Here is a 24,121-nt window from a genome sequence, read left to right on the forward strand (position 1 = left end):
GCTAAGATGAGATGGGACCGCTCATGAACAAATCCCCAAACCCCTCTCTGTCACTGATCAGCCACCGTGGTCAGCCACTGCCACCAAGTAGTCGTCATTCAAAAGGGGCCTTCCAGGTACAATTTCAGCCCCTCCCTGGCATCAAGAAACGTAGTGATTTCGGCCTCTTACAACTGGCTCATCACCACTGTCTGTTCGCACACTCCTCTTTCTTTCTCCCTATGTTGTTTACAAAGGTTTCATTATGTTTTCAACTAATCAGAAAGGCCCCGCTAATACACAATTAACATGTGATTATAAAAAAAATTAAAATAGCTTCCAGAAGAAGGAAATGTAATTAAGTAGAGAATGCTTTTCAATAAGTGCTTGCTTTAACCCATTGTCAGAACACAGTCTACGTTCGTCCACAATGCCTAGAACAGATGCCAAGGGCAGAATGTTAAAAGGAAGTTTAAAAAAAAAAGGGGACATTATTTTCTGGGGGAATAATAGCCATCAACTTGGTACAACATGCCGGAGAACTCGGATTCCGGCTGCAGAGGAGAGACCCTCCTCCCAATCCTCTTACCTCTTTTTTCTGGAGAAAGAAAAAAAAGTTTCCCTTCTAAAAAAATGAAATAAATGATTAAAGCCAAATCTAAGATAATAAGAATACATGCAACTAAATAGAGAAACCAACAGCCAAACACACACACTAACGAACCCCACTGCCAACAGAAGTTCTGGTCCAGACCATGAAGAGGGTTTGATAGCACCTCTTTTTCATCAAGTCTGTGATCATTTTGTTTCAAATCATTTCTGGCCAAATTTCAGAAGGGATCTGTCTTTTTAAAACCCCAAATCTAAAATGCGTTTGTAGACTCCTGTTTGAAAAGCAGGCTGACCAATCTGAAGGATTTTATTTCTCCCCCTTCTCTGCAGCCATCCCAAAGCAGTGCTCCAGCCAATGAGATCCGGCCATTTTATTGGCCCCAATGCTTGTCAATATGAATGGGGGTACTGGGGGTTTCAATGGTTTCTGCCAGACAATATGGGCCCAAAGCAAATGGCAAATTCAGTGATTTTGCAAGGAATGGGAATGTCGTGAGAAACGTGCATGACCCCACACATGAATTCTCCCAAACATGATGGAGAAGACGAAATATCAGGAAGCTCAGGGCAGGTGACAGGGCGACCACCTGGACACCTGTCCTCCCTCCTCACAGCCCCAGCACAGAGCAAGTGCTGCTGGCCCCGGACTGTCCCCCAGCAGCAGAAGTCACAGTCAGCAAACCGCCAAGGCCTTCCCCGGACTGCACTGGCTTACAGAACACACCCAGTTCTGGTAAGATGGGCCCGCCAAGGAGCCAGTGCTCCTGGACAACATCCCTAGGGGGTGGCAGGGCCAGGAAGATGCCTGTAGGCATGGCCAGAGCTCTGTCCTTCTCGGCTTCTGCCCTGTGGGGCACCCAGAACCCCATCCAGTGTTGCCCATGCACCTTGAACAAAGGACTGAACACTATGGGGTTCTATTCCCAACCAGCTATGACTCGGCAGTTATTAGCTGGGCAACCCTGGGGAAGGTGCTTAACTTCTCTGAATCTGTCCTTCGGTGTGAAAGGCCTTGTCTGCAAAATGGCCCCCAGAGGAAGCTAATATTTTCCCTGTCACTCAGGGGAGAAAGGTGAGATTCAACCAGGTTGCGTGGCTGGTCCTACAGGAAGTGAAGGAGCTGGGACCCAGGCTTGGATGACTTGGCTCAAAAGCAGTCTCAACCGTGGAGCAGACGGCCTTCGATAATAGCAACCCCCGAGGATGCAGACAGGCCTGAACCACGGGCACCCGACCAGTAGGACCTTGGTCAGTCCTTACCACGATCCCATCTTACCTCAGCTCCCAAGTGCAGAAGCCAAGGCTCAGGAACAAAGCGCGTCTACCCAAGGCCATCCAGGCAACAAGGCAGGTCCAGCCAGCCTGCCCTTGCTCCTTCCACCAATAAGTCACCTTAGCACAGAGCCATCTCCCCCAGGTGCACAGATGGGAAAACGAAGGCTGCCCAGCATGCAGAAAGGGCTTCCTGAGGTCGCACAGCCCAAGGATGAGGCTGGCGCAGGAACTCGAGCCTTCAGACTCCTCTTCTGCCCAGATGATCAGGGGACTGAAAAGTACCTAAAGCAAGCCAAGATGCGTTCTCAGGAAAATATGTGGAGCGAACTACCTGGCTTCCTGACCTGTACTTTCAAGCCCCACTGTCAAATCCACCACAGACACCAACACAGTGGTCCACTCTGACCCAGGGCTCCTCTGGAAGAAAAGGAAGAGAAGCTTCCCAGGGCTCTCCAGTATTCCCCACACCTCCTCTGTGGGGCTCCCCCAGCACCTCCATTTTGCAGATGAGACCAGAATGCTGCAGGCGAATGGTGCACCCAGCATTCTATCCTTGCCCACCCCACCACACACCACAGTCCCCCAAGCCAGGATACTGCACTGGGCTTTGCACCCCCAAAACAATGGCTGGCCCTTGCTGAGCACTTGCTGAGTGCCTCAGTGTATCTTCGTGAACCCCCACAAGGCTCGTATGCCTTGGATTCCACATGGAGGATCCAAGCTCAGAGAGGTAAAGCAACCCACCCGAGGATACACAGCTTACATCCATCCCAGGGCCTGCAGCATGGGAAGTGCTCAAAATAAAGCATAAGTAAGTTTCCTCGAGCTAGCACCCCACCCCCAAGGATAACAGGCCCCTACAGAGTGGGAGCCTCGTCCCAGTCATTCCTGTCACCCTTCACCACCCAACACCATCTGACACATAGTAGGTGCTCAGCCAACACCTGCTAGACTGAGCTGACACAGCCCTCCTGCCTGCTGCCCAGAAGAGCCCTTAAAATTCTGCAGTCTGCACCCGCCCCTTGTGTCTGCGCGGCACAGTGAGAACTGACATTTCTTCCTAGATAAATATCTGGAAAGAAGTCGGGAAACAATTAAAACTAGAAGCTAATAAATGATGAAGAAGCCCATGAGCCAAGTCCTGGCCCGCTTCCCAGTCTTCATTCATGCATCAAAAAAACCCCAGCGGTCCGAGGCTTCGAGAGGGCAGCTGGGTGGTGGGGCTGTCCGGCATAATATAAATGGGAATTAGATAGAATCGAAGGTGCTTGTTGCATTCCCAAAGGCAAACACCATCTCCCAATGCTGCCCCCCAGCCCACGTCTCCCCAGCCAAGCCCTCTTCTCAGGGAACACATGACAGATGATCTTGTAACCAGGCAACCAGGGGAGGAAAGGTTCCAAAGTTCCTCCACACGAGTGAGGACAGCAGTGTTCTGATCATAGTGGTGACTGGGGCGCAGCACCGTGATACCTTCTGTGGACCTGAAAAAAACAGGGGCTGGGGGTGCACCGGCCACTCCTCCAACATGAGGACCTCAATGTCCTGGCATCCTCCCCTTCCCCTCCTGAGCCAGGCCAGCCAGCCCATCTTTCAGGGAGATAGCTCCGTGTCCCCAACTATCCTGGTCAAAGCTGTTCCCAGTGGGTTGAAAACCTAAGGTCCTAGGCCACAGCAGCTTTCACTTTGCAGCGGCTCATGTGCCCTGACCATTCCCTGTCTGCAGCTGTCTTGACAGATGCCCCCCAAGATTCCCAGGAGCTGAAGCCTCAGCAGTTCCACCGGTCAGCTGCACACTGGATAGATGTTTGTCCACCATCAGAGAGGATACCTGTGTCCACAAGAGAGGGGACCTTGCAAACGGAACAGGAGCTCTGTGTGCAGGGAGTGTGCAAACCCACCCGCTCAAAAAATCCAAATGCTTGCCAAGGCTGTGTGATACAACTCGAACACCGAGCACCTTCACATGAGCACCTCATAAACCAGGTGCTTTCTCAACCAAGGCTGCACAGGATCCTCACCAGTTGAGATTATCACATGGTGATGTTGAGGCTCAGGGCTGGAAGGAGGAAAGGGAACATTTACCAAGAACCTTCCATGTTCTGGTTCCTTCCATGTTCAGAACCTGGCCCGAAGGTTTCACATGCATAATTCCAGGGAGTTTATTCTCAGACCTGGAAGCATACTCATTTTGTTACAGGTGAAGGAACTGAGGCCCAACACCAGACCAGAAGCTAAATGCATGCCTTTCCACCTCCCCAGCCTGCACCCTTATCAGGCTACACAACATCCCTTTGCTAACATGGTCTGAATTTGGGCACTGTCTAGGGATACAGTTGGTGGCAGTGGGTCAGAAGCAATGAGCAGATGAGTAAGAAAAGGACCCCAGGACAGAAGGGGACACCTACAGGGACCCAGTGTGTGCCAGACACTGCTCTAGGGCCTAAAGACACCCCTGGCCCCTCTCTTGCCAGTCAGCTGAAGTCAGTATGCAAAGCAGGGTCTCCCACTCTGGATTCAGGGCAGAGCTGTCATTTTATTTCTTTCTTTCCAATATCCATAGTACCCTTAATAAAGAAAATGAGTGAAGTTGGAAAATTGAAGATTGGAAAGAGAATTTTTTTTTCACAAGGCAAGCCTCTCATTCATTCCTTTGGGTGTCAGAGGGTGGTGAGGGGTGCTCCAGGGAGGAAATGAAGCCCTTGCTGTGGGGAGGAGGATTCGCCTCCTATCTAATAAGGTTCTTCTGACAACGCCAAGATACACACCCCGCACGCACTCTTCCTCGCTGCGTGAATAGAATATGATTATTTCTAACGTCTCTATCTGAAAGGAAATGACCACAGCCAGAAACGAAGCAGACAGACGGCTGGAGCGGAGACTCAGAGACGGAGGCCATCAACTGGACAGCTGCGTGCGAGGGAGACATCCTCACCAAGTGTCCCCCTTTCTGGGTCATGCACCCCCAGCCCCAGAAGAGGACAGCAGACTCTGCTGTGCAGGCCCCTGACTTCCAATTTGAAGCCGCAAGCCAGGTATGGAAATCAGAGCAATAAAGAGACGATGCCTCCCAAATGCACAGGACGCGGGCTGTGTCGGGAAGCTATCCATCACAGCTGGCTGACACGCGTGGGCTTAGTGTGTATCCCCCTGATCCATCGAAGGGCTGGATGGTTTTCTGGGAAGTGGGAGGAGGAGCTAATGAAACCACAAGGTTGGCAGAGGCTGCCGATGCAGGGTGCCCAGCTAGAAACTTTTCTTTCCACTGAGAAAAAGTGGCTACAACTTTTGAGATCAGTGTCATTGCACTGTCTGATTTTCAAGGAAACTTTTCTTCTTGTGGAAACCTTTACAGGTACAAACAAGGATATGGAAGGAAATATAATCCATCAAAATAACTTCTCTTAAAATGTCAATGTTTCCTTTCGGTCCCTTTCCTGTGGATGCAGATAGACAAGAACACACAGACATCGAACGGCTGAGCTCTTGCTGTATACAGTTCAAACAGCTGAGCTCCTGCTGTATACAGTTTTGATTTGTGCTTGACATTTTCCCACATCGCTAGAAGTGCCCTGACATCATTATTTTCAATTGCTGGGTGATGTTCCACCCTATGGCTGGGGCATGTTTATTTCACCACTCTCTTTTCCATGATTATAGGGACGCTGCAGGTGTATACGTATGAGCCTATGCGTGTCCCTGGTTAGTCTTCAGGCCGTGGTCCTGGAAGTAGAATTCCTGGATTGAATGGTATGAAAGGTCTCGCGACACATTCTCAGCCATACCCCCAGCCTTCCAAACAGAGTGCACCTTCCGCACCTTCCGCACCTTCCGAAATGCACTGCTTTGCACTCACCAGAACAGCCCCATCTGGGCTAATCCTAAGACACAAGAATACCTGTTCCACCCCACCCCCGGTCAGCACAGCAAAAAACTTTCCACTTAATCAATGGTTTTAGAAAACTCTTCGGCGAATGGGGCTAGCAGGCTTCCGACTCTCTGCATTCCTCCCAGGCAGACTAGGTCAGCCATCCCCAGGTGCACCCCAGCCCCGTGACACACCAGAGCGCCTAGCTCAGACTCCCCGGACACCACTTGCTCACGGCGAGGGACGCTTTGCGCGGGGCCGTTGTCCAAAACAATCATTTTTTAAAAAAACAAACAGAAAGGAAGCATCACTGATACTTTTGCGATACTTGTCCGCTTCCTGAAAATGTGAGATAATGAATAAAAATGTTCATTACCGAATTATTCGCTTTTCCTCCCTGATCCACGTCCTGGTAATTACCGTGACCAGCCTAATAAAAACTGCTACAAACCGAAGGTCAACTGGCAGTTAGAAGTGTTCATTTTCATTTCAATGTATTCATCTCTGGCTCCTAATGGCCTCATTTTCTCCCATGCTCCTTAATAAATACCACTGAATTACAGGTTAAATAGCTAAATTAAATTATTGCAATTACAGCGTGCAGAGCCCTGAATCTGGGTTTACCTTTCCCAGTTCAATTAGAGGCGAAGTTTCAACAGCCGAGGAATTCTGATTGCTGTCAATATTCTCAATGGCTGAGAATCTGCACAGACGCCCAGATATTTGGTGAGAGGGTTCTTTCCCCCTTCTTGTTTCTGAGGGACTGATTGGAGCGCTCTCGACTGAAACAAAATCACACAATCAAAAGTGGTTTTTGGAAAGCGACCACAAGGCATAATTGATTCTTTTTGACTGAAAAGGGAGAAGACTTAGCAGGGTTCTGGCTAAATGCTGTGTGTGTGTGTGTGTGTGTGTGTGTGTGTGTGTGTGTGTGTGCGCGCGCGCGCGCACGTGCACGTGTGTGCGTGTGTGCATGCATATGTGTGTGTGTACACAAAAGAAAAATCCCTGTCTTCTAAAGGGGAAAAGTACATTTCAATAAATACAGATCTTCTTGTTTTTCATGCCACTGGCCCACAATTATTTTATGGGTCCACATTAAAGAACTTCCTCATTATTTAAATATATTCGAACGCTTGTTGGTATTGCCTCGCCACAGGATTAATTATCCAACATCCCTTATAAGACAGAGTGTCTTAATAATACAGCGTGCCTGGGAAGGAAAAAAAAAACCTCACCAGTTCTGTTTCCCCAAATCCCAAGATATGAGAGTCTATTTCTTGTGAAAGAGCTCCCCCTGACTTCTCCATCCCTCGGCTTCAAAAGGCACCAAATTCCACCACAGACAGGGACTCTCGTCTTTTTTTTTTTTAAACAGTCTTATTGACACACATCACGGGTGCGCAGTGAAACCCCATGAGGCCCACTGTGAGTATTTGGGAATCCAGGATGCTGCAGGGGTCCGCAGCCGAGAGAAGAGCCTGCTGTCCTGGTGCAGGAGCACAGGCGCTGGTCAGTCTTGGGGAGCTCAGATTCCACCCAGAATGGGCAGGGGAAGGGGACTGGGCTGAAGCCCCATTCGGAGCTGTGTCATTCCCACTCACAAAGCCCAGGGCCGTGCCAGGCCAAGTGCCAAGAAGCCAATATCTATGGCTGGAGCCAGGGGACATGAGCAGTGCCCCAGATCACAGGCACAGGCACAGTTGGCCCTGTAGGGCAAGGCATCTGCTGACATCTGGAAGCCCTCCAACCACGACAGGCCTCCTCTGGGGGCCTGGGCATCTGTCCCTCAGAGAGGTGAGAAAATCTCTGCCTGGGCCCAGGGATGCCACTTTGCCCATGAGGCAGCGAGGCGGGGCATCTCTCTTCATACCACATGGCCCACCCATCTGGACACCCTGCAAATGCCAGCTCCAGGGCTGGGTCACAGACCCCCATGGCCACATGTCCCTGGCATGGCGCAGGAGGCTGGCACAGCCACTACTGGAGCTAACCCAGGATGGAATGAGAGCCGGCAAGTCCTGGACAAGAAGCTTCCAGAGGGCAGAGACTGCCCTGCGTGTGGCTCACCTCGGGGCCTGGAGCCCTCCCCCGAGGCCTGGCACAGAGCAGCCCCTGGTCAATATTTGCTGACTCAAACTGCATGGGAAGCAGCCCCCCAGTGGTCCACAGGCTGGCCAGGGGAAGTCCAGCCTCCGTATCCTTTATGCTCTCAGACCAGACTTTGCTGGCTTGGGGAAGTGGCACAGCCAGACGCAGCATGGGAGGAGAAGCCAGGGCACCAAGGCAGGTCGGACAGTGGACACACAGCACCCCCCACCAGGCCTCCAGCATTTTCCTAAGAGCAGGATCAAAGCTGCAGAGGATCCCAGTTCTCCGAGGGAAGTGGGCAGTAGCCCGTGCAAATCATTTCTACAGAGGAAAACGCAACCCTCGCCAGGGATTTCTCACCCTGGAAGCAAAACCAAGGCTCATTGTAAAGAATGCCTGAAAAGCAAATTGACCCTCACCAGCTGAAGAGTGGTCGGTAGTTAAAAAGTTGTCACACACAATTAACAGTCCAAATACTGTTTTAAGGGAGGGCAGGACACAAATGGTGACGGGACAATGCTCCCCTCTCATCTAGAGCCTGATGAAGGCCTGCGGCAACATGAATCGCTGTCATGATCATCACCATCCCACAGGGGGCTTCCTTCCTGCTTAGAGATGAGAAACTCAAGGCTCAGAGAGGTGGAGTAACTTGTCCAAGGTCACACAGCCAGAAGCCCCCACCTCCCATGACAAGGCTGCTCCCTAGGGAAACAGACCTGCCCCCAGTCCCTGTCCTGGCCCTGTGTTCACCCTGTTCTGCCCCCAGCAGCCACCCAGGCCGTCTCTCTGCACCCTGTCCCAGGTCCCTGGTGCTGCACCGCCCCTGGCACATCCCAGAAGTGTCTCCTTGCTCACACCCAGCACTGGCATCCCCTCTGCCTTGTGTGGCTGCCCCTCCACTGTGCCCACCTGGGAATGTCTTTGCCTCCTTCACTTCTGGGCTCACACTCCCTTGCAGAGCTCCTGGCCTCCCTTTGACCATCCCTCGGTGCCTCACACTGCTCCCGGGCTCTATGCCAGGGTGCCCCCAAGGAGCTGCACTCTTCCTCTCTATTTCTGGTGACCAGAACAATGCCAGGCTCCAAAGGGGGTCCTTGAGCCCACAACAGGCAGGAAGGAGTCGGGGCATCAGCCAGAAACACTCGCCTCTTTTTTTTCGGTAGAGACAGTTCACTCTGTTGCCCAGGCTGGAGTACAGTGGCTCGATTACCACTCACTGCAGCCTCAACCTCTTGGGCTCAAGCAATTCTCCCCACCTCAGCCTCCCGATTAGCTGGGATTATAGGCATACACCACCACACTCGGCTGATTTTTTTATTTTTTATTTCTGTGTAGAAACAGGATCTCACTATATCGCCCAGGCTGGTCTCAAACTCCTGGACTCAAGCCATCCTACCACCTCAGCCTCCCAAAGTGCTGAGATTACAGGTGTGAGCATGGCCAGCCACTGGCCTCTTTATAAGCGCCAGGATCACTTGTTTCTGGTGAAAGCTCTGCATGCTGTAGGAGCCTCTAAGAGTTCTTTTCTCCTGCTTTTTCTTTTAATAGGCCTATCCCAGGAGGAGGACACTTGAGCCTCCCAGCTTGTCAGCTCACTGCCCTTCCATCAGAGAAGGTGCTGGGTAGCAATTTCATGATCAGCCAAAATGTGCCTTGAAGTAGAAGAGGACAGCCCAGCCCTGGGCCAGAAATGACAAACAAGACAGCTTCCTCCTGAAGCCATGCGCAAGGCAACGCAAGGAGTGCCCTGAGGACTCATGGGGATGGGAGGGAGAGAGAGGGAGGCAGGGCCCACAGAGCCCTGGGGAGAGAGCAGAGGCCACCTGTCGTCGGCCACTAGAGCTCAAGTCTAACAGTCCTCCTGGCTACAGGGCAGTCCAACCTCCCCAGCCTCAGCCTCATTCAGCCTAGCTCAGGCAGGGAATAGCGAGGCCGAGGCCACCTGGAGCCGGTAGAACAAGCCTGGGGTCTCATGCAGCGCTGCCCCTGCTGAGTGACCCAGAAGTGTCCCTTCTCCTCTCTGGGTTCTGGTCTCTGGTCAGGAAGGGAGTCAAACCAGGCAAATCTAATTCAAACCCCCGCCAAGAATCCAGGGCCTCACAGCCCAAGTGCTCTGGGGTCGGACAGCCGGTGAAAAGCTGTTTCCACTAAGAAATACACAGGGTCCCCTCATCCCGGCTCTCAGCTGTTCAATGTCCGCACCCCACTGTGGCACGAAGCTGGGCCCTTCCACACCCTATCTCAACTCCCACTTCCTAGAAGACAAACTGAGGCTGTGGCTTTCCCCAACCACAGATCTGGAAGGCAAGGGCTGCTCCACTGCCCCATGTGTTCCCGTTCTCGTTCCCCATGGCCGCAGGGAGCAGAACAGGCCTAGTCAGCCACATGGCCTGGCACCAAACAGAAGGTCTCCACAGGGCTCAGCTCTGCTCCTGTAAATCCCATCATCAAAGAGGGAAATAACCCGTGAAGCCCCAGGACAGAGAGAGACTTCTGAGATGAAAAGATCTCACTTGACCCCTGAGACCTTCTAGTGGCAGGATGCTGACATGCATGCCTGGGGCCAACAGAACACTGACACTGAATCCAGAACTTTAATTTCTTAAAGGCGAGTTCAAAGAGGTTAACGAAAGGAAAGGTGCACCACGTTCCATCAGTGTCAGTGAGGATGAAGAAAGGAGAAGTGGGTTCGGAATGGGTCCACTGGCTGAGCAGCATTTCCTAAGCATCTACTATGTGCTAGGCACCATGGGGGTCCTGGGAAGGTCCCTACTCACAAGGAGTTCATTCATTCACTCATTCATTCAGTGAGTCATTCTTTACTCTGTAATTGCACAAATGGGTCTGAAAACTGCATCTCCTGGGCCAAGCTCTGTGCTGGACAAGAGAGGACGTGGTTATGAAGGGAGCCCCCCTACCCCCAACACTGAAGGCATCATTACAGGCCAGCACAGTGGGACCTTCAGCTCAGATAGGGATAGAGGGCTGGGGGCCGGGGGAGCGCACAGAAGGAAGCAGCCACCTCCCTCTCGTGGCCTAGTCAATCTTATCGCAACGCCCCAAGCGCCCCTGAACCCCCCGCTCTGAGCCAAGGAGTGCCACAAGAAGGTCAGCAGTGCCCAGGATGCCATCAGCCCCCAGGTCCCCCAGGCCCTTGCAGATGGAAGGACTTCCTCCTCATGGTCTTCCAGCCACTGCCCCCACCCTAGCCTTCCAGGCTCTACCCAGTGCCTGAAGCATGGGCATTCTCCCTGCTCAGTCAGAGCTCGGCCTCAGAGGGGAAAAGGCTGCCTTGTGGGTGATGACTGGAGGTGGGCCCACAAAAGGGGTTCACTAATGAGCCACCTGTGAACCCATCTCTGGGCAGGTTGCTGCAGACAGGATCCATGCACAAGCTGCCTGGTGGGCCTCTGGGGAAGTCTGTGGACTCGTCTTTCCAGGGGGTCTGGAATGAAGGCCTCTCTCTCCCTGGGGTTAGTGCAGAGAGGCTAAGGCACCTGTAACAACCTAGCAACTGCCCCCGATCCCGCACCCCACTGGCCTGTCCTGAGCACCCGAGCTCTTCCATCTGCAGTGGCCAAAGGCATTTTCACCACCCAACAGCCTTGGGGTAGGGGGGAGGGAGGCAGGCAGGAGAACTCAGAACTTTGCTCCCCCAGCCCTATCATTCACTCCACAGTGCTCAGGGAGGTGGGTGGGGGACTCGCCAACACCCACTCCACCCCACATTGCTCCACCAGCTTCCTGCCAATGCCCGGCAGCTATTCATCCCAGGGGCAGTCCCTGGACACCTCCCAGGGGCCAGGCCAGTGCTGGGCATCTGGGAGCCTAACAAGAGTGTCTAGAACCTTCTCCCTTACCAATAATGTCCCTTTTCCCCCACATCCAGACAGAGCGAGAGCTCGAGCCCAAGTGGTAAAAAGAATGTTCTAGACAAAATCGAACAGCAGCATCTTCCTTCCGTCCTTGGGTCTCTGAAGGCTGTCACGAAGGGCTGCCTGCATTTCTCATTCAAAAATGTTCAAAACCTAAAGAAACTCATAAATGTACACACAATAAGGCCACATGGGCAAAGCAAAACACAGACATGTAACTTGGGGCCTAAATTCAGCCCACTTCATGTGACAACACCATTACAGTCTGTGCCCCCTGTCCTTGGATGGAGGGGTACCTGGGACAGGACAGGCGGACCAGGTCCCAGATCACCTGTGGGCAGGTGTTCAGGGGATGCCCCTCCAGTTACATTACTTTGAAAGGGAGCATAATATGATCCTTCCTTAATGGAAGCAGCTCTTTCACAACAGTAGGAAGAGGGAATTAAAAAAAAAACAGGCCCTTGAACGAACCGAGGGCCCTCCTGGGCTGTCAAGAGAGAATTCTACAGCTGGTAGTGATGACGGCTCCATCCTACCCGGCCATTTCTTCATGGAGGTGTGGCCACAGGGTCTCAGACCCTGAAAATGAGCATCCGGGGACAGTCCCTAACTGAGACGGCCCAGGCCAGCAGGGCCAGTGGAGGATTCGCATTCACTCTGGTGCTCCACAAGTTTGACGGTTTGGGAAAATTCGCGGACTCTCCCAAAGCCTGCATCTCCCACTTCTACAATGACTGGTTAAATGCGCCCAAGGACCAGGCGCTCGCTACACCAGCATGCCAGGAAAGGGGAGGAGCGACGTGAGGACCTCCTGTGTCACCCTGTCCTGGGCGCTCTGTGAACTTTGTGATGCCTGAGATGAGCTCCCTTTTCCAGAGGAGGAAAAAGGAGCCCAAAATTTGACAGGACATTTGAAGCATCCGCCCCCCTACCCCCCAGCTTTGTGGAATGAGGTCAGGAATATGTAAATAAACAAACAGAGTACGTGGTAAGGAGCAGAATTCCCAGAAAGTTCTGTTCCCACATTTTACCTCCAAAATTAAAAGAAAATAACAGCACACATACCAGTTCCCGGGAGCAGTATGGTTCTTGACCACGGTGGACCAAGTCCAGACAGCCATAAAGCCACTCCCACCAAGGTCTTCCAGCAAAGATCTCTCATTGCAGAATCAAGTTGTTGAAGGAAGGTTAGCTCCAAAGAGGCAGCCCTTCGTAGCCAGGGGTTGGGAGGGGAGTCTTGTGGGAAGGGAGCCTGAAGTACCCCCGATACCCTCAACAGAGGACCGAGGCTTTGGGGAAGGAACACCTGAGCCAGCAAGGTTCATCCAATGGAGGCCAGGGCCAGAGGCCTCCTGGACCAGATTCTCTCTCCAGGAGCAGAGGCAGAGGGTGATCCAAGGACACAGAACAAGAAGATCTCAGCCTCCAACAGGGTCAAGATGGGAAGATGTCACAGTCATCCATCAGGGTAATACTATCTCTTATCCCTGGGGGCCACAAACTACGGGCCATGGATGTCTGCCTGTTTCTGTAAATAAAGTTTTATTGAAACAACAGCCACACCTGTTCATTAATAGTCCACGGGTACTCTTGCACTACAGTGGCACAGTTGAATACAGTAGTTCCCTGTTACCCGTGGTTTCACTTTCTGGGGTTTCAGCTACCCGAGGTTAACCATGGTCCAAAAATATTAAATGGAAAATTCCAGAAATAAACAATTCATCAGTTTTAAATTTTGAGCCACTCCAAGTAGTGTGATGAGATCTTGCACCACCCTGCTCTGTCCTGCCCAAGACCTGAATCTTCCCTCTGTCCAGCATATCCATGCTGTAAGACACCACCTGCCCCTTAGTCACTAGTAGCCTCCTTGGGCATCGGAGCAACTGTGGTAGTATCGCAGTGCTTGTGTCGAAGCCACTCTTATTTTACCTAATAATGGCCCCAAAGTGCAAGGGCAATGATGCTGGCATATTGTTCCAACTGTTCTATTTCATTATTAATTATTGTTGTTAATCTCTTACTGTGCTGAATTTATAAATTAAACTTTATCATAGGTATGTGTGTATAGGAAAAAGAACACAGTACAACAGGGTTCACTACTACCCGAGGTTTCTGGCATCCACTGGGTGTCTTGGAACATATCCCCCCAAGGATTAGGAGGAGACTACTATAGTTGCAAGAGAGACCACTTGGCCCACGAACCCTAAAGTACTTCACTATCTGGTATTTATCATAGATAAAGGCCCGGTCTTATCTAAAAAACCATGGGATGAAGCCCTCCAAGCTTGCAGTTGATCCAAAACTCTCTATGCTGAACTATTACTTTCTTTCATAAGTGAATCAGAAATCACAATGTTTCCATTTTTGCCAAGGCTGCCAGGAAGCTCAGAGGTAAATTCTAGGTTTTTATGCAATGCAGATTACTAGGACTACCTTTTCTGTCCCTTGATTGTATGATTCTCATTCTTTCACCATCATTTTAATGCTTCTATTACTGGTTTACTTAAAGCAAGAGACTTCAAATTCCTCTTATTATGACATAAATGACAAAGCGAAAAAATACATGAGGACCCAATAGCTGCTCCAGCTCAGGGGGCCCCCTGCACCTTGATGAGCCTTTGCAGACCTAACTCTCAGAAATCACCTGGCCAAGGGCACCTCATCCCTTCCTTTCCAATCTAAAGTCCCTCTAGCTGAGACCTTGGGACCAGAAAATCCCCCATGAAGCTGAGGGAGCTTTGGGCACTCACCTCAGTCACTTCCAGTGCCCTTCCTGTTTCTGGTGGGCAAGAGGGCTCCAAAAGCATCCCCTATTCACTCAGCCCCTCATTGACCTCCTGTGCACCCTGGGTGCTGGGAGCCGGAGCTAGAGGCATCAGGCACAATCTGTGCCCTGGAGGCCTTCACATTCCACACAAAGAGGATGTGACATGACTTATCAGCCGGCCCAGAGGCAGGTGCAAGTGCTGCCTGGGGGAGCTTTTCCCGGAGAGTAAACAGGAGCTCCCTCGGCTGCCTGGGGATGCCCAGGGCTTGCTGGGCAGAGTCTGGCCAGGCCAAAGGGCAGAGGCACCCAGGAGCCCAGTGGAGCAAGGAGCCCAGTGGAGCAGAGCTCAGCTGCCAACAACAGCAGCCCTGAGGGACAGGGCTCTGGCAGATCCTGTCCCCAGATCCACCTGGAACTGAGCTCCCACCAGCTGGGTGGCCCTGGGCAAGTAACAGGCCCCTGAGTCTCCATCTCCCCACACCAGCGGAGCAGCATTATTGGGAGGAATGGAGAGAGCAGATGCACCACGCCCAGCACAGAGCGGGTGCTTTGTAAATGAAGTCTACCCCAGGAGGCCTGGCTGGGTGGTAGCGGACACAGGGCAGCATAGGGAGATGAGTCCAGTAAGTCCCAGGGGCCATGCATGTTGCAATGAGGAGTCTACTTTCCCACAGGGGTGTCTGAAAGCCCGGATGTTTTAAAGCAAGAGGCGAAGGATCCTGTCCCTTGTCCTTTGGAGTGGCACAATTTGAACAAAGATGGGCCTGCTCAGGCCTGGCATCCCTTCCCCCACTGGAAAAGCCTGGTGTGGTCACCTGGGCCACAGCCACAGGGCCTCGGACTTCCCTGAGCCCCAGATCCCAGGAATGGACAAGGACCGTTCCTCCACAGAGGCCAGCATCTTGGAGCTGCAATCCCTGCTAATCACCACATTATTTATTTGGAGTTTATTAAGCAGTTGCTGCCACTGGCTGTTGGCAGCCTCTAATATTTACACCTAGCTTTCCCGAGGTCTCCTGAAGCGCTAAAGTAATAAAAGGGCCATTCCTTCTAGCTGCAGACAGGGAAGCTAACCCAAGCAAGACCGAGCACGGGGCTGCACTTAACAAGAGGAAAGGGGGCCTTCAGGTTCCCTTTGGCTTCAGACTCAATTCTAGCTAATAACACTGCCTCCCTCCTGTCCGGGCAGGCTCGGGGCAGGGCCCCTTCCCAGAATCCACTGGGCCCGTTGTTTGAGGCATTTCTGGCCCAAGACAGCAGCCGAGTCTGCGCAAAGGAGTGCTCGCTGGAAGAACCGCTCTAGTTCCATTCACCCACCCAGCAGACGTGAGGCCCCTCAGGGCTGGACACGACACTGATACCAGGATACAGAGGTCATGAAGCTCGTCCCTGCCCTCAGCTCCAACAGCCACATACACTGCAGCCAGGCCAAGGCCAACGTGGACATGGAAACCTCGAGCCCCCAAGAAGTGGGAGAGAGAGGCTCCATGCGAGAGCCAGGACACCTCCCGGGAAGCAGAGCACAGTGACAGCAGAAGAGGCTGAGATGGGCTCACAGTGGGGAAGAGCTTTACTAAAATGTGTCTAGGATAGAGAAGGGCTACAGTCTGAGACCTGGTTACAACCCCCTCTCTGCCACTCTAGAGCCATGAGGTCTTACAAGAGGCCCTGGACTCCTATGAGCCCCAGTTTCCTCATTTGCAAGACGGGAGCTGCCATCCTGCCACAGAGTCACAATGAGGACTCTGAAGGGAAAGGGCGATAGGCCATGGGCTGGGGAGGGGGTTCCATCTCTCACTCGGCTCATAATCCTACTGGACCCCAAAACTCCGCTTCTTGTTTATGAAAACACTCGGCCTCCACTGACATCCGCAGGGGACTCCTGCGCGACCAGAGAGCAGGGCAGAGCCCTGGGGTGTAATCCATGGAGACCACCGAGGCCATGTGAAGGAACAAGCCTGGTCGTGGGCTGGAATGAGGTCAGTGCCAGGGCCAGCCCAGCCCAGAGCTGTGAGTAACAACAGCTGCCAGGGACACTGGGACAACCAGGGGAGAGAAGCATGCGCCCAGCACGACCTCAGCAAGGTGCCACAGGGATGCAGGATCCAGCCCCTGGGGAGCCTGGCCCCCGGCAGGGGAGAACCTCAGCCTCAGGCTGAGCCAGGGCCATGGCTGCAGGAAGACAGGAGAGCTAGGAGGCTGAGGGTGGGGGAAGAAGCCCGAGGGTGGGTGAGAGGTGAGTGCCCTGGAGTGGACCGGCCAGGCCAGTTGTCCTCTCTGCCTCTAAATCTATGACCTCAGTCTCAAAGCCTTGCCTTCTGTGCACCTTGACTGCAAAACCACTGCAAAAATGCAGTGCTCAGGATGGCCTGGCACCCACTAGCCCTCAACAGGGCAGCCACTATCTCCACAGCTGCAACACTTAGGCCAATGCCTCCAGCTAAGTCCCCTGAATGGTCCCATAACCAGGAAGACCTCTGAGCCCCCCGAGACTCTCATCAAGGGCTGAGGAAATGGTGTGAGGTGGTGCACCCTCTTACCATTTCCTCTGAGGAAAGTCATGCCAGGACAGAAATTAAGTTTCAATTCCTGGGCAGCACGATTGATTAGCAGAGGCTGCCCTACCTCTCAGCTTGAAGCATCCAGGCCAGAGCCCAGGGGAAGGAGGTGCTGTGATTGACAAGTGATGTCTGCTATGGTATAGGAGGGAGCAATGGAGGCACACATGCTACGGACATGCCCAACTCTAATGCGTCTCTGGACAACTGCATCCTATTCCTTGCAGAAGAAACAAACAAAAGAGATAGAATAAGCACTGCAGAAAATAGAAAGGTTGGGAGAGCAGGTCCAAAACAATGGCCAAAACCGGAGAAGGGGAGGAAGAAGAGTTGCCTGCAGCTGCCCTACATCCCTGGGCTTTCTCAGCCCACAGTAAACAGGAGGCACAGATTTTCCAGCCCGTCTTGACTGCGGAAGTGTGTTTACTGAAAAGGTTTTCTCCAGGGAGAAATCACCGAGAAGAGCTCTCTCTCCTCAGCCGGCCACCTCCCTGCTCCAGCCCTTTCGTTCTGGATCTGCAACAGGCTCCCACAGGAGCCCAAGCAGCTCATGCCCGAGGACCAAGAAACTGACTTCCCCAGCTTTGGGTCCACGCCAAGGCTTTTCCTGCTCAGGTGTGGATAGTCACTCTAGGGAAGAGAGAGATTGAAGGTAGGGCTTCCCACTGGGGAATAAGGATGTCCCCAAAGCCAGATCCAGGAAAGCACTGCAGCCCCAGAGTTGGTCTAGCAGGGGTGACTTTGACACTGACGTGCGGAGGAGCCTGAGGTGGGAACCCAGTCTTCACCATCACCTCCTCCTGACTTAGCTGCACTTGGGGCCGCAGAGCCCTGCATCACCATGGAGAAGACACCTTCCCCTCTACCAACGATGACAATGATCCTAATAAGATCAATAGACACCTTCCCCTCTACCAACGATGACAATGATCCTAATAAGATCAATAGACACCTTCCCCTCTACCAATGACGACAATGATCATAATAATAAGATCAATAACAGCTCCCCTAGCTGAGGCCTGCAGATGCGGGCCCCGTCCTGAGCCATCCACACATGCGTACCCAGGTAATACCATGATCTCCTTTTAGCAAGTGAGGAAACTGAGGCTGGAAGATGGAAGTGGGGGCCAAAGTCATCCAGTTAAGAAGGCAAAGCCAGGTCTGCCCCAGGCCTGTCTGGCACCCCGTAGGACTCTCTGCCTCAGAAAGCACCATGGGAGCAGCAGAGGCTCCAGTCCCCAGCCCAAGCCCATGGGCAACCAGGGGAGTAAAGGGGTCCCCATGAGAGCCTGCAGCTGGACAGCCTCTGGGCCCAGGGCAGAGTCATGTACTTGGGTGTTGTCTGGGCCCCTCACTCCATCCTGGCCTGTGCCTTTTGCTGTTCTGTCCTCCTCCTCATGGCAGCCGGCCACAGAGCCTGGTCTCAGGGTATAGCGTAGAATTGCCAATGCCACTCATGCATCCATGGGCACACACATGCACACTCACACATGCACTCGTGTGCACACAGACATATGTGCACACATGCATGTACACATGCACATGCATTCACATGTACACAATGCACTCATGCACAAACACACGTGCACACACACCCCCCTCCACCTGGTTCCTCGAGTCCATCGTCCTTACTTCTCAGGGCTGCACCTGACCTCTTTCACGTGAATGTGTGACTCTGACCTGCTGGTGCATTTCCCACCCAGAGGTTCACACCAAACTCCGCCCTGCCCTCTGGAGTACCCCCCACCACTGGTTCCTCGGTTCTAAACTTGTGTTTATTTTACAGAAAATTTAATGAGTAAGCAAAGTCTGCTTTTCCAGCCTGTCTTTCTCATCATCTATGTGGGCTTTTGCTTCTTACTTATAAGAAGAAGAAACTTCAACTTGATACAAGTAAATGAACTTGAACCCCTGCCCATCCCCACTCCCCCCTCCACACATCCCAGCAGAAGAGTTGGTTCCAAACTCAGAAACCACACTTTGGATCAGATTCCAAGCCCAAAGCTTCTCCCATCCTGCCCACCGACTTCCACTCATTCTCATCATCCCTACACTTTGTCTTCTTTTCCAGGAGGTGCCATCAACCCAAGCAACTGCTCCTCCTACCCAGGGATTCACCTGAGCACTGGGGGGGCTAGAGCAACTTGCTGAATAAAGAAGCAAAAGCAAAATGGATCTCCCCAAAATTTCCAAAAATCAAACGGTGCACCCAAAGCCAGAGAGGTGGCCTTCCAGGTTGGTCAGACAGCTGCAGCATGTGCAGCTCAAGCCCCATGTTGTCCAAATGTGCAAACCTGCAGCCTCCCCTGGGCCTGGGCGGGCAGCCAACACTGCAGGAAACTGAGGCTCCGAATGCACCTGCCCTGGATCTCTGGCCACATTGGGTGTCTGCTTAGTCAGCTTCATTTCACTTGATTTCACTTCATTCACAAGCGCTCACGGACAGCCTCATGGGGGCCAGACCTCCGCCTGGGCCTATGGGGACAAACAGGGTCCAGGCTAGCTCACAGCCTGGTCTCCCAGGACAGCCAGGGAGACAGGAAAGGAGACCCACCCCGTGATAGGTGTCTCCATGGGTAAGTACAGGGGCCCATCGGGGAGGGCACAGGTGACACGGACCTCAGCCCCGACCTCAGCAGAGACTTCCCAGAGAACAACCCCTCCACGCCCCACCCCCAGGAGCTGAAGCTGGAGGCAAGTGTCCACTTGCCTGTGACCCAGGCCCTGACAGGGCCCATGTGAGAGGCAGAAAGACTGCACTGCAGAGGGCTGATCCCAGGGCCATGATGCTCTCCAACCTCCCCCACCTGCTTGGCTCCCTTGCCCAAAGCAGGATGTGCTGTCTTTAGACAAGAAGTCTCTGGGTCTGTCCCCAAACCCAGTGATACTTTGCTTTGATTTCCTGCTTTGGTTCCAGTCTTGGTCATTGGTGGCTTCTGGGAGGATAAAATAACATCACTGAGGGAACAAAACCAAGCCTGTCTCCACCTTCACCTGAGCAGGATGCCCACCAGGGGAGAGGGGACCCTAGACCCTGTGCCAGTGCAGAGTGGGGGACCTACTGCCATCTGCTTAAAACTCACATGAGCAGACAGACAGGGAGGCTTTTCAGCTGGGCAGGAATCATTTGCAAGAATCAGATGCTGAGACCATGCCCAGGCTCTCGATGAGCCCCTGGAATGAAGAAGGGAGCCCCGGAGGCTCGGCCGACCTGGGTGTGCCAGCACAAAAGAGGATGAAGGCCCCGAGCTGCTCCCTCTCAAGTGCAGCAGACACAGCCCCGACTAATCAGACAGCAGAGGCTGCCACCCAGAATGCCCGGCACGTTATTCAGCAATGAGGTATAATTGAATGGATTAACATGAATGCGACGTTTCCCCTCCAAAAATTCGAGGAACACCAAAATGACTCTCATCTGGACTGGTATGACTCATGTTTTTAATAGAAGAACTTAATTTTCACTTCTGAGGAATCTGGGCTCAGGGAAATATTGTCTAAGAAACACTCATTTTACTCCACGGGCAATGGTAAGTCCTACTACCCCAAAAGTACAAATGCAGAACCCCAGCCGGTGCCTGTCTCCCACACTCCCGGACGCCACAGGCTGCAGAGTCCATGAGCTTGGGCAGAGCACAAAGGTCTAAGGGGAAGGCATAGAGTCCAGCGTCAGCCACACGTGTCCTAGCTCAGCGCAGGGACTTGGGGCACATCCTGTCCCCTCTCTGGGGCACTGCTTGGAGAGCATCTGGCAACAAGGCACAGGGGCCCCTGGCAAGGGCCCCCCGAGGGGCTGCCCCGTGCGCCCAGGCACAAGGGTACTGCTGGGGCCAGCATCTTGCTTCTGATGCTGGAACACTCAAGGTGACACATCCCAGCCCTCCGGTGCTCCTCCGAGAGGCTTGGCCCCAGGACACTGACTCCTCCCTCTCCCTAGACCCAGTCCTCAGACCCCACAGAGGGCAGGCAGAACCTGGGCTCAAGTGTCAGAACAACAGGTCACCATTTGTCAGCTGCCTAATTAGTGGAGAGGATATTACTGACCCCCTTGGTGAAACAGCACAGAAGTTCCCCTTCCCTTCTGGCACAGTGAGTGTCCCCCCATCCACGGCCCTGCCTGTTCCTAGCTTCAATTCCCACAAAGACCCTGCCTCCCAGGGACACTCCAGCCTACTGCCCTCCACTCCAGATTCCAATGAGTGGCAACTTCTACATAAAATCTGAATCCAGGTGTGGCCAGGTGTGGTGGCTCATGTCTGTAATCCCAGTGTTTTGGGAGGCCGAAGAGAGAGGATCATTTGAGGCCAGGAGTTTGAGAACAACAGCCTGGGAAACATAGCAAGACCCTGTCTCTACAAAAAATTTTAAAAAATTAGCTGGGCATGGTGGTGCATGCCCATAATCCCAGCTACTTAGGAGGCTGAGACAGGAGGATCACTTGAGCCCAGAAGGTTGAGGCTGCTGTGAGCTATGATCACGCCACTGCACTCCAGCCTGGGTGACAGAGCAAGACCCTATCTCAAAGAAAAAAAAAAAAACATGCAGCAAACCACCATGGCACACGTTTACCTATGTAACAAACCTGCACATTCTACACATGTATCCCGGAACCTAAAATACATTTAAATATTAAAAAAATAAATAAATAAATAAATAAACAGGATGAGCATCTGGATGCAGCCTTCTTGGGAGCATGGGGACCCGGCAGGACGGTGCTGTTCTGCCTCTTTACCTTCCCAGCAGCATCTTATTCCCATGGCCCCAGCAGGTGGATGTGCTTCTAGCTGATGGGTGGCTCCTGAAGCAGGGGAGGGGTCACAGGGGCCAGGAAGTCAGTGCTGGCTTGAGGCTACAGCACCCAGGTACAGCCATCTCCCGGCTGAAGAACTCCACAGGTGAGTTCATCAAGCATGCAGGGGTGGGGGATGCGCCCACACCACCATTCCTCCTGACGGCACTGTCACCTGGACAGCTACAGCGGAATGTCCCTTCTGAGTGCTGCTGACCTCTCACCAAGGGCTCCACGGGCTGCCTCCATGCCCAGAAGGAACCCCATCTCCCCCAGCCCCCCACCCTGCAATGAAGAACAGATATCCACGTTCTCCCTCCCCAGCTCTTCCCCACCCCTGCTCCGGCCAAGGGAGATGCACTAATTTATAAGTTGCAGATAATGTCACCCACCATTCATCCAAATGTGTCACTAACATCCCATTAGACTGTAATTATTTTTTAATTAAAACTAAGAAAACTGGCATGCCTGAGCCGACTTTATGCATCTGTTATGGGTTAAAATAGCTTTTAAAAAATGTTTCGGAGACCGCAGTCTATTGTGGCCGCGGCCCCTGCCAAAGAAAACGCAAGCTTGCTTATTTTCTCCATGGGGCGCAACAGTGCCTATGTGTGCCGGCAGAGAATCGGCTGGCCGTGAAAAGAATTCTAAATAAAACACAAACATGGAATTTGGCAACGCCACAGAAGCAAGCTTAAGACTAATTCCAGCATGCGGACGGCTCTCACATAGTAAGGCTGGCTCCAGCATAAATGAAACCAGGCACTGTAAAATACCAAGGCACGTTGGAGTTTCCACTTAAAGGGACAGAACACTGATTCCAGGTATAAAAGCTTATTAAGCCGGCTCGCACTGCCTCCATAAATCCATAGGTTATTAGCTGTTTGCTTTCAGCCAATCCCTTCTTAAAGACATGTATATTAAGAGAGAGAGAAAGAGGGAGAAAAACAAATGAAAACCATCACTTTGCACTTGACTTTTAGTGCAGTGATTCTGGAAACACTGTGTTCATTATCTCAATTAGAGGAGAAAGAGACCTCAAATACACACAAACCCAAAACGAAGGAGAAAAGCAGGGAAGTAGGGGCGAGACGCGAGGATGAATGCGGCCCCCAGGAACAGAGGGCAGTGCCGGGAACAGAGGAAAAAGCCCCGTGGATCCCGGAAAGCCTCCGCCCAGGGAAGCGGCAATGACAGTGATTGCAATAATAATAATCATAGTTATAACAACGATAAAAAGATAGCAGTAATGCCTGCCGCTATTCAGCACCTTTCACAGGCCAGCTGCTGCTTAAGGCCGCACAATGTAACAGAGAAAGACTCTAAGGTAGAATAAAGCAGTAAAGTGTCTGAAATCGGACTGCCTCCATTTCCTCATCCGTAAAATGGGGATGTGAAAAGTGCCTTCCTCGCAGAATTGGGGTGAGGGATGTTGAAGATGAAGCCCACAATGAACGCTTCTTAGCACAGCGCCCCATTATCACTGCTAGCCGCCCACTCTCAGTCGTGAGATGGTGCTATTCTCATGCCACAGGTGGGGAACCAGATGCACACACAGGCTGGGCTACCTGCCCAAGGCCAAAGCTCAGAGACATCCGAGTCGGGATTTGAACCCAGCCGTCCACTTCCACAGCCCTTATTCTCTCTGCAGCCACTCCTGGTGGGTCACACACCAGACTGGCCACATTTCCCAGCACTGTGGACTGTGGGCTCCCTCTGAGATTGGGGGCGGGGGCTCAGTCTCCCCCAGGAGGTACTAAGAAGGTGAATTCAGCTCTAGAGAGAGACTCGCCCTCAAAGGCCTCAGCAGGCCTCAGGATGGACACACACCACAAATCCAGGAAGAATCAGAAAGTTCAGGGAAGAAAAATAATCACAAGTGCCCTCACCATAAACACAGAGCTTGGGAGGCTGGGAGGGGCCTGTTCTGTGCTGATAGTTCTCCCTGGACTGCACACAGACACATACACATATACACTCAACATGCACATATGCACATACATGCTCACACACAAAAACACTCATACACACACACACGCATACATACACATATGTGCACAGATACCATATACACTCAGACATATACATATGTACTCACATGCACAAATATCCACATGTGTACACACATCTGCACACACGTGTGTGCATACACACAAATACGCGTGTATGTACAAATACATATGCACATATGCTCTCACATCTACACATATACACATGCATGCACATATATACACTTAGTCATGTACACACATGCACACCCCCACATTCACACACTGACATGCAAATACACATACACATATGTGCACACAC

At 52.4% G+C, this 24,121-nt stretch overlaps 1 protein-coding gene and 1 long non-coding RNA gene across 7 annotated transcripts in view, besides 1 other annotated feature; both read right to left on the bottom strand.

The window, feature by feature from the left end:
* BCL11B (BCL11 transcription factor B) overlaps positions 1-24,121 on the bottom strand; it is a 102,911-nt gene that overhangs the window by 23,728 nt on the left and 55,062 nt on the right. The window lies entirely within an intron of this gene.
* On the bottom strand, positions 4,379-21,322 carry LOC124903412 (uncharacterized). Its single transcript, XR_007064392.1, has 2 exons — positions 17,929-21,322; positions 4,379-17,879 (listed from the first exon to the last, which is right to left on the bottom strand). It is a non-coding gene; the product is annotated as an uncharacterized LOC124903412 (long non-coding RNA).
* Positions 18,326-18,826: an enhancer, noted in NCBI's record as "H3K4me1 hESC enhancer chr14:99677677-99678177 (GRCh37/hg19 assembly coordinates)". NCBI's record gives its function as "activates a minimal SCP1, AML or CMV promoter by ChIP-STARR-seq in naive H9 embryonic stem cells {active_cell/tissue: H9 hESC(naive)}" and the evidence as "EXISTENCE:reporter gene assay evidence [ECO:0000049][PMID:30033119]".

Source organism: Homo sapiens, chromosome 14, assembly GCF_000001405.40.
Source record: "Homo sapiens chromosome 14, GRCh38.p14 Primary Assembly".
In the NCBI taxonomy this organism is placed as follows: Eukaryota; Metazoa; Chordata; class Mammalia; order Primates; family Hominidae; genus Homo; species Homo sapiens.